A 19,398-nucleotide genomic window follows, 5' to 3' on the forward strand; every position below is an offset into this window, starting at 1 on the left:
TACTGTCCCAATAACCATTTAGGTGTAAGTTACTAAATAGCTATTAAAGTTTTTGAGAATTTTTAACATTTCTTGAAATTAGAAATTCCTTACATTATTAAGAAACACTCTTTGGTTGACCTTTGCAAGCCCAGCAAACCCAGAGTTAGATAAAGGTACAAAATCGAGAATCTCTGTCCTTACTCTTCATATTGTATGGATGCATTTAATGCTAGTAAAAATTGTAAGCCTGAATAAATGTAGTGTAAAACCTGCATTGATGATTTGGGGTTTATTTAGTTATTTATGAAGCTTATATCTAAATTTGGGATTAAGTTGATTTTTCCAGTTTTCCAGTCAATGCAACATTTTAAAAAATCAATTTTAGATTAAACCACAAAGGAAAATCTCAGTAAATTCCAGAAAAGCTGAAACTACATATGTCCATTCTCTCTGACTGCAGCAGAAATTTAAAATATACAACTTTAACCATTTGGACAAATCAAACAAAAAAATTGCTTAAATAAATACCGGGTCAAACAGGAGATCAAATGTACAATAAGTGGTCATTTAGCACCTGAAATGAGATTCAGGCTAAGACTCATACTGTGCTTAGAAGTAGATTAATAGTCTTTGTTAATGAATGAAATAAATGTACTAAGCACTAAACCTTAGAATTTAGTAAAACAAACGGACTCAACAAAATAAATGCCTAGGAGAAAGGAAAGAAATTAATAAGATAAAAGCAGAAATAGGTGAATTAAAAAACAGAAACCACAGAAATGAAAAATCTAAAAGCTACTTCTTAGGGTTGAAAAACAAAATAGAAAAATATCTGACAAATCTTACAAAGGAAAAGATGGAAAACCAAAATTAAGTTTGTAAAGCAGATATAAGAATAGAAAAGATGTTTAAAAAATAGTAAGCGAATACTATTTATTAACTCTAAGCTGATTTATTTGAAATGAATTATGGAACACCCAAGCTGATTTAAGAAAAGTTGGTCTGGAGCTACATCCAGCTAGCTCCAGAACCAATTTTTGCCAGTTAATTCTTTTTAGTTTTCAAGGAACATATAATTCCTATGGTGAGAACTATTTTAGAGATTATAGAAAAGATGGAAATATGCCCAATTAATATTATAAAATCAGTATGACTTTTTTAATGGTTCAGTGCAGTAAAACTCTTTTGGGGGAGGTTACTGCTTTTTTTTAGTTTCTATTGTAAGCACAGATTTTTCTTGAAATTAAAACAATTGAGAAAAGAAAAAACAACCAGAAACTCAAAACTTAAAGATATTGTTTATATTTATTAACGTATTTACCATTGCTGGCACTCTCCTTTGTGTAGATCAAAATTTGGACCTGATAATCTTTTTCTTCTGCCTAAAAATCATTTCTTTAAGTGCAAAATCTGCTGCTAATGGATTTTTCTCAGCTGTTGTCTGAAAACATTTCCACCTTCATTTTGAAATATATTTTAGTAGGGTACAGAATTTGAGGTTGACAGGTTCCCCCCCTTCCAATCTTGCGCCATTGTTTTCTTATTTGTATAATTTCTGATGAGAAGTTTGCTCTCATGCATACCTTTGTTTTTCTGTACACAATCTTTTTTCCTCTTCTGGCAGTCTTTAACATTTCTTTCCCCCCAATCACTGGTTTTCAACAATTTGATTATGATAATTGTCGGTGTGATTTTCTTTGTTTATCCTGCTTGGATTTTGTTGAGCCTCTTATGAATCTGTAAGTTTCTGGTTTTGATAGCATTTGAAAAAATTATGCTCATTATTTCTTCAAGTATGTTTTTTATCTTTTTTTTTCCTCTGTTTTTTGGACCTCAGTTACATTGATCTTAGCTTGTTTGTGTGTTGCTGCAAATCAGTGGTATTCGCTTTCATTATTTTTGTATTTTTCTCCTTTGTGCTTCATTTTGGAAATCTTCTATTGCTATATCTTTAAGTTAACTAAGTGTTAAATCTGCTGTCCTATGCAGTGTATTTTTCATTTCAGATTTTGTATTTTTAATTTCTAGAAGCTCCAATTGGGCCTAAAAACAGTCTTGCATTTCTGTGTTCAACACTTCCATATCTTTTTCTGCTTTCTTGAATGTATTGAGAATATGTATAACTCTTTTGGCATCTCTGTTTGCTAAGTTCTCTGTCAGTTCTGGGTCTGTTTTTATTGATATTCTCCTGGTTATAGGTCATATTTACATGTCTGGTAAATTTTGATTGTCAGACATTGTAAATTTCACGTTACTGGATGCTAGGTTTTGTGATAAAGAGGCCATTTTTTTTCTTTTTCTTTTTTTTTTTTTTTGAGACAGAGTCTCGCTCTGTCACCCAGGCTGGCATGCAGTGGTGCAATCTTGGCTCACTGCAACCTCCACCTCCCGGGTTCACGCCATTCTCCTGCCTCAGCCTCCTGAGTAGCTGGGACTACAGGTGCCTGCCACCATGCTCAGCTAATTTTTTGTATTTTTAGTAGAGACGGGGTTTCACTGTGTTAGCCAGGATGGTCTCGATCTCCTGACCTCATGATCCGCCCACCTGGGCCTCCCAAAGTGCTGGGATTACAGGTGTGAGCCACCGCTCTCGGCCGAAGAGGCCATTCTTTTAAGTAATGTTGGTCTAAGTTTTGGCATGCAGTTAAATTTTTTTTGATGCCCTTTAAGACTTGTTTTGTTTTAAGGAGGCTTTGTTAGGGTGAGTCTGGAGCAGTGAGTAGACTTTTCTCCTAGAGCTAATTTAGAAGTTGATACCCTTCTGAGGACTTTACATGATACTTCATGGATTGGGAGGTCTTTTTACTCTACCCTATTGGAATACAAACTATTCATAGCCTTGTGTGAGAGTTTCAGAAATTATTTGGCCTTTGTTTTTTTTTTTTTGTTTTTTGTTTTTTTTTTTTTTTTTTTTTGTTTGCTAGTCCTTTCTCCAACCTCAGGTGGTTTCCTTCCACACAGGACATATCAGCACTCTCCTAACAGCTTGTGGGAACTCCTTTGCATGTCTCCAAGGCACTGTCTCTGTATGTAGTTTCTTTCTGTTAGGCTAGTCCACAAATTCTGGCTGCCTTGGCCCCACTAAGTGTCAATCTTTGTGACCTCAACTCTTTGAGACTGTAAGGTTCTGTTTAAGCCCCATCTCCCTTCTTTACACTACATCCTGTAAATTGCTTCAAGGGTGTGAGGTCAGGCAAATGTAGGACTCACATCATTTTTTCATCTTTTCTCAGGAATCCCACTCCTGCTCTGACTGGTATCTAATATCTAAAAGCCATTGTTTCATCTGTTTTATCCAGTTTTCTGGTAGTATAAACTGGGACAACAAATCTAATCTCTGTTACTCCATCATGGCTATTTGTGGAAATTCTTGAGTAACTTCTCCTCCTCCTTTTTCTGTGGATTAAGATGTGGGCCTAAGTTAAAGAAGTTAAGAAACAAGTTGGTTTGATCTCAGTGTTTCAGGTGTTTGGCTTGTCAGTAACTGAGGCAGAAGAGTCCCTAGTTGTCTGTGGTCCAAACTCTTTGATGATGATAAACAGATGATTTCACTTCATGCATTCTCCTCTCAGTTTCAGTGTCGGGTACCTACTGCAGTAGTAGGGTAGTTGATCAAGAATTATGGTATTCTGAGTCTTGGTCAGTTGCCACATAGTTTAAATAAGTTCTTAGTACTTTTAACTGAATTAAGACCCATACTTATTTGCTTTTTCTCAGCTATTTCTGTTTGCTGGTATTTACTTTTAATTTTATGAGTTTTTTCTTTGTTTCTGTTAGTTGCTAGTTTATCTAACTGGTTGTCATTTTTCAGCTGGATTATATTTTCTTTATATATTTTGTATTTTTCTGCATCACAGTAATGTTTAGGCTCTTCAAAGTGTTTGACCTTCATGCATTATATCTTTAGTTTTGTTATCTGTTTTTCTAATCTTGCTTTTCTCTACTCAAATGAATGAGTGAATAAATTAGTAATCGAATAAATGTAGACACATATACTCACACACAAAGTGCATTTTCTCAATTCAAACACTATTAATTGTGACATATGCCACAGATTTAATATATTTTCATGAAAAAAGAAACATTAAGTTTATTTTTTAAATCCTTAAAGGTTTACTGACAGAAGTATACATTTATCCATATAACTTCTACCTCATCTTTTTGGGAATCATAAGATTGAGTGTAATCGTCTTCCAAATTCTGACATGCTGCTTTTCCTTACCTGTGCTTGCTTTCTTGGTCTCTTTACACATTATGATTGCCAGTATAATTTTGAGTCATATGGAAATGTGTAGAATTTAACTGCTTTTCTTTTTGGTTGAACTCATGGTTTCAGTTTTTTTATAGATAAGCCGTGAATTAAATAACTTCCTTTTTGAGTCAGCTGGAAACTTTTGACAGATTGATATCCAGCACTTGGGTGATAGTACTTTGTAAAATGCAAATTAGTCACACCAGTGTCTTCCAGCTCTGATAATTCTATGATCTGTTTTGAGAGATTGTGCAGTTTTTACTGCCTTTAATTGCCCTTGCTTGGCTTGCAACAGACAACTTTTGCATTACAATAGCTTTTTATTTCAGTGCTTTGACACGGTTCAGTCTCTCTGAAAACATTTTCAAGCAAGTTATGCTTTCAAATTTAAGTTAAAATTCAACCTTATCTGAGTTTACCTGTGCAGTTAACTCAGCTGTGGTCATGGTTGGATTGACAGATACCTTCTATGGGAATGTATTTTCCATAGGTTTACACATGGGTAGGCAGTGACATACCTCACAACGTACTCTTTTGCTTGGCTACTGGCAAATTTTTTTGGATTTTATTTCTGATACTTCTAGTTTCAGAAACCTGAAAATATTATTTTAAGAAAAACAAGTATCTTTAGTATTAAGAAAATCTAGTTTAGTAATTTAGTGTACAGTGAGCAAGCATAAAATCTGTCAGTGGTAGAATTGTTTAATAAGTTTTGGGATGATCAGATGGCAGTTAGGAAAGTTCATGTAGAGCCTTTTCATATGCAAATGTTATGGTTGACCTTTTTAAATTGGAAAAACTCGTGAAACTGTGCAAAGAATAGTAATCTTCTAAAGTAAGAAGACTGTAAAGAAGTGATTATAAAAACTAAGCACATCTGTATGAAGAAAACCAACACAATTAAAACTAAAAAGAAAAATAACAAAGTGGAAAACACAAATATGACCTTACATGATTACTGTATTATGAAAATATTTACAACACTAAGATTCCAGTAACTACATTAATAAAGGACATGCCCATTAGCTCTTAAGGAAAAGAGTTCAACATCATTGGTAGTTAAAAACAATAGTGAATAACTTTTTTTATACTTACTGAGTAACCATAATAAAGAAGTCCATAGGGAATCAAGTACTCATGCATTGCTTTTGGAATTGGAATAACTCATTTGAGAGGTAGTATGGTAGTATATATCTTAAAAGCCATAAACATATCTAAGGGCATGGATTAATGATCTTACTCTTGGGAATTGACCCTAAGTAAATAAAGAATAAAAAAAAGCTATATTAGAGCTGCATTCACAATACTATTACTTATCATAGTAAAAGCTGAAGACAACCTAATTGGCCAACAGTGAAAATTTTGATATATTATGCAAAAGTAATACCTGAATAGTTCATATCCATTACATATAAGTGTTAGCACTGTGACAACTGGGACTGTATCTTTTTTTGTTCTCTGCTGTAAAACCAGTGCTTAGAAAAGCTTGGCATGTGGTGGGTACTGAAAAATTATTAGTAGTATTTTTTTTTAATGAACAACAGAATAATGTTGAGTTAAAAAAGAATTTAAAACATACACATACAGAACCTGTTCTCAGATACCTTAATGAGTAAGGGGGATGGGCAACAAGTTGGTTGATGAAGAGTTCTTAGAGGAATTTGAACTGGGGTTTGCAAGTTTAGTAGAATATGGATTCTCTTGGGAGCCAGGAGGTGGGAGTGCTACTCCAGGAAGAGGGATTTATCTGAGGAAAGACCTGACAGTAGGAATTGACTGGAGAATAAGGCAGGAGGTTAGGCATATATAAGGACAGAATTCTGAGTGGACTTGTAGCTAACGAGGTAGGACTTTATTCTTCTGTATGAGAAGTCGTTGATGCTTTTTCAACAGAGTTTGATATTGAAAGAGCTATATAATTCAAGGAGTTAATCTACCTTTGCCATATAAGACAGGTTCACTCAGTTAAACTAGAGGTCCCCAAACCCTGATGAGAGACTGTTGGAGTTCATGGTTACCAAGGTAGCTAGAGCTTGAGTGGCGAAGACAGTCACAGAGAAGTGAGCCTATAAGTCTGAATCATGTTTCCCTTAAGAGTTGTCACAGCTTAGTAAGCAACACAAACCAATAAGCAGGAAAGTTGAGCAGAAAGTGGCTGCTAACAAACTAAGCTCAGCAGAGTTTTCAGCAGTTTCATGGTGCTAGAGATAGAGGCGTCCTGGTAAACACCCTAGGTTGAACAACTGCATCCTAGCAGTAAGAGTGAACCAGGAGTAGACTAGGTCTTAATAAGATTGAAAACAAGCTTCAAGTTAGCTTGATCTCTGATTTTATTAGCTCCCGCTGCCAACCAGAAAGTAAAGAAACTCTTCAGTTGAAGATAAATTTCACATCCTTTATGGTTTTTAATGATACAGTGTTTGACATTGAGTCCCCAGATTCCAGACATGCCAAGAACCAGAACAAGAGAAAAAACAGATGCAAAAATAGACACAGATGATCAGGTGTGGACGTCAGTAAAAAATGTTGTGCCACTTCTTTCATTTCTCCTTTGTTTCTGATGAGATGTCTGCTGTCATTTGAATTATTTTCTCTTATAGGTAAATTATCATTTCTCTCTTACTGTTTTTATTACACTTTCTGTGTCTTTAGCTTTCAGAAGTTTAACTATGATATGCTTTAATGTGGATTGCTTTGGGTTTATCCTGTTTATGGTTCACTCGGCTTCTTGAATCTGTAAATTTATGTGTTTTGCCAAACATGGAAAATTGTCTGGTTTTTTTCTTAGAGCACTTTTTCAGCCCAGCCCACTTTCTTCTCTCCTTGTTGGATTCCATGGCAGAAGGTAGATCTTTTGTTAGAGCTTGATCTTTTGTTAGCGTTAGATCTTTTGTTAGGTCTTGAGGCTCTAATTATTTGTTTTCAGGCTATTTTTTCTCTGTTGTTTAGACTGGATAGTATCTATTGTTCTATATTTTGGTTCAGTGATTCTTTCCTCTGTCCCTTCCATTCTACTGTTGCATCCATCCATTACATCTTTTGTTTTACCTATTTTTCAGTTCTGAAATTTCCATTTGGTTCTTCTTTATATCTTTTCTTTCTTTGCAGTATGTTCTTTATATCTTGCTTTGTTTTTGAGACTCTCAGTTATTTTGTTGTTTCAAGTATGTCTGTAATGGCTCCTTGAGTCATTTTTGTGACAGCTGCTTAAACATGTTTTTCAGATAATTTTAACACCTCCATCATCTTGGTATTGGCATCTGTGGATTGCCTTTTTTCATTCTGTTTGAGATATTCCTGGATCTTGGTATGATGAGTGATTTTTATTTGATACCTGGACATTTTTAGTATTACATGCTGACACTCTGGGTCTTATTTAAATGTTCTGATTTAGTTGGCTTTCTCTGGCCCTGCCCCCGCATGAGAAGGAGGGAAGCCTCATTACTTTCCTGTGGGGATACAAGTCCAGGTTCTCTACTTTGCCTCTCTTGACACTCAATTTAGGGAGAGATTCTTTGTTACTGCTGGTCATGGATGGGAGTTCTTGCCCACATTGATTTCTCCCTGGCTGGGAGGGGCAGGAATGTGTCATTATGGTTCCCCACATATCCTCCACAGGGTGATAGTCTCTTTACTGTGTGATGGTGAAAGGCCTGACTCTGCTAGGCTTCTCCAAAAACAGCCTGTGGCAGAAAGAGAGAAGGGTACCTTGTTACTACTAGGTGAAGGTCCAAGCTCTCCATGTGGTCTTCACTGACACTGTGGAAAAGGAGGTCTCATTATCACGTGGCAGGGACTGGCTCCCTACTGGCCTTCTCTGACATCACCATTGTGGGGAGAATTGAGTGCCTTATTACAGCCGGAGGAGAGCAGACATCTAGGCTCCCTACTTCACCTTTGCTGGTGGGAGTGGGAGCTACAGGCACAGAGTTGTTTTTTACTTCTGTTTTTGTGTTTTTGGTGATGTTTGGCTAGGTATAATGTGCTCTGTCTGGATTGTCTCTTTCCTTATTCTTTGCCTGGAGAGAACAGGATTTTGTTTTGTTTGGCTGGTTGGTTTTGGGGGGAGTCTGGGCCTATGGGTTTTTTCGGGCTGCCAGCTTCTTCAGCTCCAAGGTGATAACATGTAACAGAAACAGAAAACTACAGGCCAATATTCCTGATAAACACAGATGCAAAAATCCTCAATGAAATACTAGCAAACTGAATCCAACAGCACATCAAAAAGATCACACACCATGCCTAAGTGGGATTTATCCTAGGAATGGTTCAACATATGCAAATCAATAAAAGTGATTCATCATATCAACAGAATGAAGTACAAAATCATATGATCACCCAAAAGATGTAGAAAAAATCATTTGATAAAATTTAACATCCCTTCATGCTAAATCTCTCAACAAATTAGACATAGAAGGAATATATCTCAATACAGTTAAAGGCCATATATGACAAACCCACAGCTAACATTATACTGAATGGGGAAAAGTTGAAAGTTTTTCCTTTAAGGAAAGGAATAAGGCAAGGATGCCCACTTTCATCACTCTTATTCAACATAGTACTGGAAGTCTTAGCCAGAGCAAATAGGCAAGAGAAGGAAATAGAAGGCATCTACATTGGAAAAGAGGAAGTCAAATTGTCTCTGTTTGCAGATGACATGATCTTATATATAGAAAAACCTAGAAACTCCACTTTTTTTAATCAGTTTTAAAATTGATAAACGAATTCAGTAAAGTTGTAGGATACAAAATCAACATACAAAAATCAGTAGCATTTCTATATATCAGTAATGAACTAGCCTGGAAAAGAAAGCAATTCTATTTACAATAACCACAAAAAAACCCCACCTAGGAATAAATTTAACCAAGGAGGTGAAATATCTCTACAATAAAAACTACAAAACACTGATGAAATAAATTGAAGAGGTCCTACAAAAAATGGAAACATATTTCATGTTCATGGATCAACAAAGAGCTAATATTGTCAAAATGACCATACTACCCAAAGCAATGTACAGATTCAACACAAGCCCTATCAAAATACCAATGACATTCTTCACAAAGATAGAAAAAAAGATCCTAAAATTTGTATGAAACCACAGACGACCCCAAATAGGCAAAGAATTCCTGAGGGGTGGGAGAGGACCTTGGAGGCATCACATTATCTGACTTCAAAATATACTGCAAAGCAGTAGTAACCCAAACAGCATGCACTGGCATAAAAACAGACACATAGACCAATGGAGCAGAAGAGAACCCAGAAATAAATCTACATATTTATAGCCAACTGATTTTTAACAGAGGCACCAAGAACATACATTCGGGAAAAGACAAGCCTCTTCAATAAATGGGGCTGGGAAAACTGGATATGCAGAAGAATGAAACTAGACCCTCATCTCTCATCGTATACAAAAATCAACTCCAAATGGTTTAAGACTTAAATGTAAAATCTGAAATGCTTCAGGATATTTATCTGGGCAAAGATTTCCTGGCTAAGACTTCAAATGCACAGGTGCAACAAAAGCAACAATAGACAAATGGTATTATATCAAGCTAAAAAACCTCACAGCAGAGAAAACAATCAACAGGGTAAAGAGACGACCTGAAGAATGGGAGAAAATATTTGCAAACTATTCTTCTGATAAGAGATTAATATCAAAAATAAGTAAGAAACTCAACAGCAAAAAGCCAATAATTCAGTTAATAAATAGGCTAATGATCTGACTAGACATTTCTCAAAAGGAATATGCAAAAGGCCAACAAATATATGGAAAAAATATTAAACTTCAGTAATCATTAGGGAAATGAAAATCAAAACCATAATGAGGATTATTTCACCTCAGAATGGCTATTATCAACAAGACAAAAAATAAATGCTGGCAAGGATGTGGAGGAAAGGGCACTCATACACTATTTGTAGGAATATAAATTAGAACCACCATTATGCAAACCAGTGTGGATACTCCTCAAAACTAAAAATATAACTGCCATGTGTTTCAGCAATCCCACTACTAGGTATTTACCCAACATAAAGGATAACAGTATGTCGAAGAGATATCTATATTCCCATATTTATTGCAGCATATCACAGTAACCAAGATACGGAATCAACCTAAATATCTATCAACAGATGAATGGATAAAGAAAATATGATATATATACAGAATGGAATACTATTCAGCCATAAAGAAGAATGAAATCCTGTCATTTGGAGCAATGTGGATGAACCTGGAGGACTGTATATTAAGTTAAATAAGTCAGACACAGAAAGACAAATATAGCACATTTTCACTCATATTGTGGGAGCTAAAAAAATTTGAGCACGTATAAGTAGAGAGATAATTGTGGTTAATAAAGGCAGGAAGGATAATCGGGAGGCAGGTATTGGGAGAGGTTGGATAACAGATACAAAATTATAGGTTAGATAAGAATAAGTTCTGGTGTTCTGTAGCAATGTAGGGTGACTATCATTAACAAGAATTTAGTTTGTATCTTTAAATATCTAGAAGAGAGGATTTTGAATGTTCCTAACACAAAGATGATGAATGTTTAAGGTGATTGATATGCCATTACCCTGATTTGATTATTAAACATTCTATATATGTATTGAAATATCACCGTACCCCATAAATATAGTTACTAAATGTCAATTTTTTAAAAAGCTATTATTTTTCAAATGATAAAAAAGAAGTATTTTGTAGAATGTTAATTATCTATATTCCATTTTATTAAAATATATACAATTTTGTTTTTGTTTGCTTCAAGAGAAATGTCCCAGTGTAGTTTATATATTAATTATGCATATCTTAATGAATTCAGAATAGTACTTTAAATATATTAAGTTTATTTACTGCTCCCCCCACCCATTTTCCAAAGTAGACTGCATTAATTTCATGTGATTGATCCAAGTAGATCCAATTGATTGACTTACTGTTTTCCTAATTTCAGGTTCCAGTTACAGCTATATCAGAGAATGAGTTAATCTCCTCAGAAATCACTAAATACTACTCTGAGGGGCTTAGAAATTAACAGGGTAAGTTGAATATCATCTTAAATACTATCTGGATTTTTATAGTGAATTCCTAATTTGGGCCTATAGTGTGTCAGGCAACAGTTGGGCACTGGGAAGAAAATTCCTTCTCTTATTTTCCATGCCTGTAGTGGTTTTCAGTTTTCTTTTGGATCAGGGCCCCTTTGAGAGTCTGCTTAAAGCTGTGTAGATCTTTTCACAAACATTCACACATGTTCAGTCAGAGTTTGAAGATCTTCGAAAACTTCCTAAAGTTCACAGACCATTGGGCAACCCTGTGCTTTGCAGTATTTCAGACGTTTTTACAGGCTTTGTTTCTCTTTTAAATATTACAACTCTATGAATTAGTGACTGATATTGATATTTTACATTGAAGAAACCGGTGTTCAAAATGGTATGTGACTTTTCCTGTAATGCAGCTGTCAAATGTGAGGCTAGAATTGAAGACTTTCCCAAATTTTAATAATACTGTTGGCTTTTTTTAAGGTTCTTTCTTCTTAATATGTCAAATTGCTCCTTAGTAAGATTGTGTCAGCCTTTCCTCATTGTCAGCAAGTGAGCATGCCTGCTTCACCACATTATCCCATTGGGTGTTCCCCCACCCTAGTGTTTGCTAAATTGGCATGTAGATAATTGCATTTCATTTTAATTTGTTTCTTTGTTGTATTTAGAGTTCTCTATCCACTTATCCATTGGAGTCTTACCAATTTTTGTAGCATTATATATGAATTTTGAATATATTAAGAATATTTGTCATGTTTTGTGCAAATACATTTACCCTTTCTGTTTGCCTTTTTACTTTGTGATTTTTTTTATGTATAGAAGTTTTGAAATGTTTAAGTATTCAGATCTACTTTTTCCTCTACATTTTTTCTCTTTTTTTAGTGTAGAAATTTCCAAATGCTTCATACATCTCAATGAATGCAGACACATTCACAGATTTTTTTTTTAACATAATGGCAATCTAAAAGATTAAAAAAGGAATGCCACTTAAGTTACAGATTTTTGACTTCCTTTTGTCATATGTTTATTGGCTATTGGTCTTTCGTCTTCTTTAAATATTTTTAAGTATTTAATCTTTCATAATTTTTATAAATGATATGTAGAAATCTAGATTATTAGTTCTGATAGCATTTAGTAAATGTTTCATTTTTACCAAGATTTCAAAGTATAGTTTACCCAATGTAAGATTTTCATATACACGTATATTTCTTTGTCTCTATTAATGTTCCTTTGATCTAATTATCTGTCACAGCATAATTATGATGTATTTTTAATGTTATTGTAGCTTTAAAGTCCTCTTTTATTAGTTTTTCAAAACTGTTTTATTCTTTGATATTTTTCCAAATTAACTTGAGAATATATTCATCAAATTAAAAAGTAAACATATGAAGGATTTTTAATTACGATTGCATTGAGTTAAAGATTCATTTGGGGCCAGGGGCGGTGGCTCACGCCTGTAATCCCATCACTTTGGGAGGCTGAGGCGGGTGGATCACCTGAGCTCAGGAGTTGGAGACCAGCCTGGGCAACATGGAAAAAACCCGCCTCTACTAAAAATACAAAACATTAGCTGGGCGTGGTGGCGGGCTCCTGTAGTCCCAGCTACTCAGGGGGCTGAGGCAGGAGAATGGTGTGAACCCAGGAGGCGGAGCTTGCAAAGAGCCGATATCGTGCCACTGCACTTCAGCCTGGGCGACAGAGCAAGACTCGGTCTCAAAAAAAAAAAAAAAAAAAAAAAAAAATTAGCTGGGCCGGTGATGTGCGCCTGTGGTCCCAGCTACTTGGGTGGCTGAGGTGTGAGAATTGCTTGAGGCTTTTTGTTTGTTTGTTTGTTTGTTTGTTTAAGACAAAAATCTTCCTCTCTTGCTCAGGCTGGAGTGCAGTGGCATGATCTGGGCTCACTGCAGCATCTACCCATCAGGCTCAAGGGATTCTCCCAGCTCAGCCTTCCTAGCAGCTGGGACCGCAGGTGCACAGTGGCACAATCTCAGCTCACTGCAACTTCTGCCTCCATAGCTCTTCCACCTCAGCCCCAGAGTATGCCCAGCTAATTTTTGTTTTTTGTTTTTGTTTTTGTATAGACAGGGTTTCACCACATTGCCAAGGCTGCTCTCAAACTCTAGGCTCAGGCAGTCTGCCTGCCTTGGCCTCCCAAAGTGTTGGGATTACAGGCGTGAGCCACCATGCCTGGCCAGCTTGCTATACTTCTTTATGTTTTTTCTACACATATGCAACTTGGAATTAGATCTCTGTCCTCTCAGAGACTTTCCTTATGCTGTCTGGCTCCCAGGAGCCTCTTTTCCTAGTCCTTTCACTAGTGGCAGGGGTTATTCTTTCTCTTAGAGTCTTAGTGTCACCCTCCCCCACTGTTTTGCCCCAGAGAAATACATAGTGAAGATTCTTCCCATATTCTTCCTACTACCCTGGACCCTTTCCCGTTTCTCAGGACAGAAGGACAGGTTTCTCTTAGGCTTTCAGATGTGCTGCCTCAGTAGTGCAGCTTCATAACAGACTGGCTTTGAGGCAGAGTCAGCAGAGAAGAAAAAAAAAAAAAAGAAACTGGGAACTCCCCTCGTACTGCTCCAAACCACACACTGTAGCCCACAGATGCTTGTTTTACACCCACTAGAAAGAGGGGGTTTCTCCTGGAGTTTTGCCATGTGTGTCTGCTGCCTAATTCTGGGACTCTGCCCACCCTCAGGTCAAAGTGGTAGATAAAGGAAGGATTAAAAAAAAATAGTAAACTCACCTTCATATTGGTTATTCTTCATATTTTGACTTTCTTCTCCAACGCACCTGACATTGTTATTTTTCAGTTTTCAAGAGGTTGCTTTTAGTATTCTGCCCAGAGTTTTTAGTTGTAATTAGTGAGGGAGATAGGCTGTAAAGGGCTTATTCCATCTTGACATTCACTGAAAGTCACATTATTTCATTTTAAAAATAATTTTTGTTTTGATTTTCCCAAAATTCTTCTTGTTCCTTGACTATTATAAGAACAGATTTTTGTTGTTGTTGTTCTGTGCATATACTGGCCTCTTGTATCTCTCTCAAGATACCAATAAAGTTAGGAACATTTTATTTATTTTTGTTGCCTTACTGTATTTTCTTTGGGTCATTGTGTCTCTACTTCTACACTTTATTGCCTCTCTTGGTTTTTATTAAGTGGCCAGTGATTGTTAGCTTTCTTCTTTACAGTATTTTCAAGTAAAGGTCACAATCAGTGGTTGTCTTACTTGAATGTATATACCCATTGCTTGGCGGCCCAGGTAAAATGTAGATTCCTGGTCCCATGGACAAAAATCTGATTCAGTAAGTCTAGAGTAGGGCACATAAACACCTTAAATTCTTTTGATGCTGATAGTTGAATGATAGCCCTTGAAATCTTGGAAACTGGTGTAATTCTGTACAGCTCATTATTCCCCTTTACAAAATACTGTCTTACCCACTGAGCATCATGGCTGACCATGGGACTCTGCAGTTGGCTTCCCGCTTGCTGTGGTGAGTGAGAGGTGGGCTTTCCCTCCCCTCCCCTCCCCTCTTTGGAGACAGGATCTCATTCTGTCACCCAGACTGGAGCACAGTAGTGTGATCATGGCTCACTGCATCCTTGACCACCCAAGATCTAGGAAACTTTCCACCTCAGCCTCCCGAGTAGCTGGGACTACAGGTGCTCGCCACCATACCCATTAATTTTTCTGTTTTTGTAGAGGTGGAGTCTCTGTATGTTGCCTAGGCTGGTGTGGAACTCCCAGCCTCAAGCAATCCTCCCACTTCAGTCTCATTGGGATTACAACCGTGAGCTACTGTTCCTGGACTCATTTTTCTTATCATGCACTTGCAGAGACAAGGCTAATAGCGGGGCCCTGTCCCTCGGTTTCTGCTGTTGGAAAGGAATTTTTCTGCAGGGAGAGTTCTGATTAGTTCTGAGTTGCCTTCCTTTTTCCCCCCTCTCCGTTGAGATTGTCTTTAGCCTGCTATTATCTCCATTTCAAAGTTCACACTATAAGCCCTCAGACAAAGACTTTAGACTCATGATAAATGCTGTGGCTGACACTTACTTGTCTTTAGAGTTGTACTGGCCATCATTGGTGTTTTTTCACTCAGTCGTTTTGTGGCCTGCCCACACCCCCAGGCCCTTCTGACCTCAGGTCTTTAGTAGGAGAAGAGGTAGATGAATGGGCTCACTCTGCCATCTTAATTGAATGTCCACTGTTAATCTTAAGGTGATATTGGTTTCTAATGTGCAAGGTATTTCTGTTGAATTCTCAGATATAATAATCATCATGAAATCTGTAGTAGGATCACACCTTATGTATACTCAGGTGTGCAAAGAAAATATAGCTTCTTTATTTTTCTTATCTCTTCCTTTTGATGAACCCTGGTCACTGGATGGCCGGAAGAAGAGTACCAGACTTACTCCCATCTGGTAAACTGGGTCTTATCCAATAATTTAAATAGTTGTGTTTGGATATTTCAGCTTCTGGATACTACTCATTCAAATATTATCTCTTTCCTCAGACGTGCCCACAACAGAATCTAGACTTATGGGTTGGCTTGTGTGACCTTGTAGTGGTGGAAGCACACCAAGACCCTCAATCTATCTACTGTCTTTTCTGGTTTCTTACTGGTCTCTCCCTGGAATTGTGGCCACCGAGGTACTACCAGAACTATCGTTTGAGGTACTACCAGAACTGTCTGAGACCTGTTCTTTTTGCTCCTAGAATGCATTGTCCATCTTTCCTGGTGTCACAGATAGCCTGAAGTCTGGCTTGGCCCCCTGAGCCTGGTATTCTCTCTTCCAGGCCTCTTGCTATGGAATTACTTTATCCCTCTGGCAAAGTCGTCAATCTGTATCTTAAGTTACCTTTCCCGTACTACTTTAGAGCACACAGAAGTTTCCTAAGGTACATTTCCTAAATGTACCTTCTTCCATGGCACATGAGAAATAAGGGAGATGCCAGAGCTGATCTCACATTCCTTCTCAATCTTCCTGTGTTTCTGTGCATATATTTTGGAGTGGCTATCTCCAGCTTCTGTTGAGTAGGCATAGGGAGAGGAAAGAGGTTGGTGGTGTGTGTGTGTGTGTGTGTGTGTGTGTGTGTGTATGAAAGTGTGTGTGTGTTTGTGCGCACACGCGCCACGTGTCAGGGAAGTTCCTGGAAGGCAGTCATTTTGTACAGTCTTAGTGGGAAGTGAAGCTGACTGTTCTAGCTCCCAGATTTCCTTACTCCATCAGACATTCTTTTCTTCTGCCCCATCTGCCTGAAAGATGATGATGGGAGTATTGGTCACTTGCATCTTCTGTCTCTGTCTCACCTTTTAATCCCACAATCCTTCATCCAGAATCAGGAGTTTGGGGCTATAATTCATATTTTTTCTAATTTATATCATCTTTCTACCCTAATTGACAGGCCCCATGTTCTGACTGTCATGAGCAGAAGGGATATCTGCTCTGTACTGTGGAAGAAACTATAATCCTACTCTTTTCAATCTTGGCCAGAAAATATTAGTGTCTAACAAATTCCTTCTTTGGGAAAACCAGACTTTCAAAAACTTTTATCTTAGTGTAAAATTCTTTCTTTAATTCATAAGGTAAATATTAACTATTTCTTTCTCTTTTCATTTTTAAACTTTACCAAATATATGGATGCTACTCATAGAATAGGAGGGAAGTCAGTGGAAGGAAAAGCAAATGAGAAAAGCATGTCAGTATCTTTTCATAATCATGAGAGCATATCTACTCTCAGTACTCCCGTTTCTCAAGACTTCCTTGGCTTTTCTTACATTTACTTTTTTAATTGTAGTAGAGACTCTTACAAGATTATGCTTCTAAAACATATTATAGTTATTTGATTTGTATTAAGCTTATAACTTTGATATTTTTAATTATAGTTTTCTCAAATAGGAAAATAGTGTGTCTCTATTTTTTCAAATCTTCTCAAAATATTTATCAATAAGGTTTTATAAAATTTTGAAATGTGGATTTAATAAATATGTCTCACATTCTTTTTAGGAAATTTTTTTTCTTTTTAGTTTTTAAGAGTAAAATCCAGGTTGCAACTCAGTTTCTTCTGCCTTGTAGCTCTTCCCTGTGTGGACCCATGGCACTTTGTTTATTTGTCTTTTGTAGAATTCCTCATATTTGTGTTTACCAAACTGTAGTCAGCTCAATGCAGGGAATCAGACATTGCTTGTCTTTATTTGCCCTAGTGCCCAACAAATTCCTGCTCATGATAGGCATGGGGAAATCAGCAATTCCTGTGCTCCTTTCCTGATTTATTTTCTCCATAGGACTTACCATGTTCTAACATACTGTATTGTTTATTTGTTTTATTTATTGTCTGTCTCTTCTCACTGAATTATAAATAGCATGCAGGCAGAGATTTTGAACGATTTTGCTTACTACTGTATTCCTAACACCTAGTGGAGCACCTGTCATGAAGGTGACCAGTATTTGTTGAATGATTAATAAATTATCAAAATTTAGATAATTGTCTAAATTATATCATATGATCTATAAAATACTGTAAGTATAAACTTCTGGTATAAAAAATAGTAATGTAATTGGAAAGGTACATTAAAAGTTAGGAAGACCTTAATATATAATCTACTATCCCATTTTGTGAAATGAGCAAGAAATAATTTAAGCACAAAGCCCAAGCTAATTGTGGAAATGGACCAAGAATTTAGAACTCTTAAGTAAAACATAATAATAATGTCAACTGGACATGTGGTAAGCAGTATATATGGTTGTAGTTAAGAAAAAGTACAGGTTCTGCAATCAGACATTTCTAGGCAAGTTTCTTGATCTCTCTGTGCCTTAGTTTCCTCCCCTGCAAACTAGGAAAAAATTGTATCTTTCTTATAGATTGTTCTAAGACATCTATGAAATAAAGTGTAGTAACTCTTAGCACACTGCCTGGCGTTTAGTGAAGGCTCAAAAAGTTAGCTTCCATTATTACTATTTGGAATATCTGCCATCTGTAGCTTGTGGATGTGAGAGTTCTTTAGTTTTTGGTGGGGCTTTTAAAAAATAGTTCCTAGAGGCCAGGCTATCTTTTAGTCTTTCCTTCAATCCCTCTAATATGCCAAGCTCCCCAGTTCTCTGAATTGATGCATCTACTCTTCTATTGGCCTAGAGAACACTCTTCTCTGACATGCTTTGCTTCTTTAACACCTACTTATCTTTCAGGTCTCTTCCTGTTTCTCTCATTTTTAAATTTTTATTTTAAGAATTTATAAATATATACAAAAGTAGAGAGTATGATGAATCCATCACCATTTCTATGTATCCATTACCCACCATCAATAGCTGTGGGGATTTGATCTCTTTAAAAATTAAAAAAAAGTTTTCTTGAAATCCCAGTAAATACCTTTTATTTTTTTCTTCCTAGCACATTAACACAATTTGCAATCATGTATTTAATGTCTCTTTTCTCCATTAGTTTATAAGCTCCATAAAAGCTGTTTTCTTTATTGTGATATATCCAGTGTCTCATACAGTGCCTGAAACATGATAGGTTCTCAAATGTGAAAGGAATGAATTATTTAATAACTGAAAACGTCGCTAAGGGGTTTGAAAAGACGAGCATTTGATGAAAACTTTTTGAAAAAGATTGGTAAGAATGACTTAGGCAGCTTTATATTAAAACAATAGGTACCGTTAGGCTCAGATTCATATACTTATTAAGCAACCTTGTGCTCTTAATTTTTTTCCAAGTAAGCTTCTGTGTAAAGCAAACTCAGTGACCTTGTGAAGAGAATATTATTTGAGTTTATAAGATATTGTCCATAGTAAATAACTAAATTAGCTTTGGGGGATCACTCTTGGGCAAGGTAAAATGATCCCTTGAGGTGCTGGGCCTTCTGGGCTGAGAGATCAAGCACCTTGACGGCTCATAGAGAAGTTATCATCTTGAAGCCTTTGCCCAGCCATCAACCTACTCCTTGTTGCTGTAGCTTCATTTGATGAAATTTAAGAAAAGTGTTTTTCTCTTCAAATTGCTATCCCCTCCTAATTTTTTTTTTTTTTTTTTTTTTTTTGATACTGTTTTGAACCAGTAACCATGGTTTCTTGTAGAGGCTCCTTGGGAGCTTTAACAACATCAGTCAGTTTCACAGCTGGAAGCAGA

General features: G+C 36.4%; 1 protein-coding gene across 15 annotated transcripts in view, besides 1 other annotated feature; it reads left to right on the plus strand.

The window, feature by feature from the left end:
* Positions 1-19,398, plus strand: part of NCOA1 (nuclear receptor coactivator 1) — a 279,449-nt gene that overhangs the window by 82,041 nt on the left and 178,010 nt on the right. For 9 of the 15 annotated variants that reach the window (NM_001362950.1, NM_003743.5, XM_047446156.1 and 6 more), the window contains one exon: positions 11,182-11,266. The exons of 5 other annotated variants lie outside the window; for them this stretch is intronic. The gene's annotated coding sequence lies outside the window, so the exon portion shown is untranslated. Of the gene's footprint in view, positions 1-11,181; positions 11,267-19,398 lie in introns of those variants that run through there. One more of the 15 variants, NM_147233.2, reaches the window with a different exon arrangement.
* Positions 13,397-13,446: an enhancer, noted in NCBI's record as "active region_15433". NCBI's record gives its function as "activates an Ori minimal core promoter by ATAC-STARR-seq in GM12878 lymphoblastoid cells {active_cell/tissue: GM12878}" and the evidence as "EXISTENCE:reporter gene assay evidence [ECO:0000049][PMID:35858748]".

Source organism: Homo sapiens, chromosome 2, assembly GCF_000001405.40.
Source record: "Homo sapiens chromosome 2, GRCh38.p14 Primary Assembly".
NCBI classification, from domain to species: domain Eukaryota; kingdom Metazoa; phylum Chordata; class Mammalia; order Primates; family Hominidae; genus Homo; species Homo sapiens.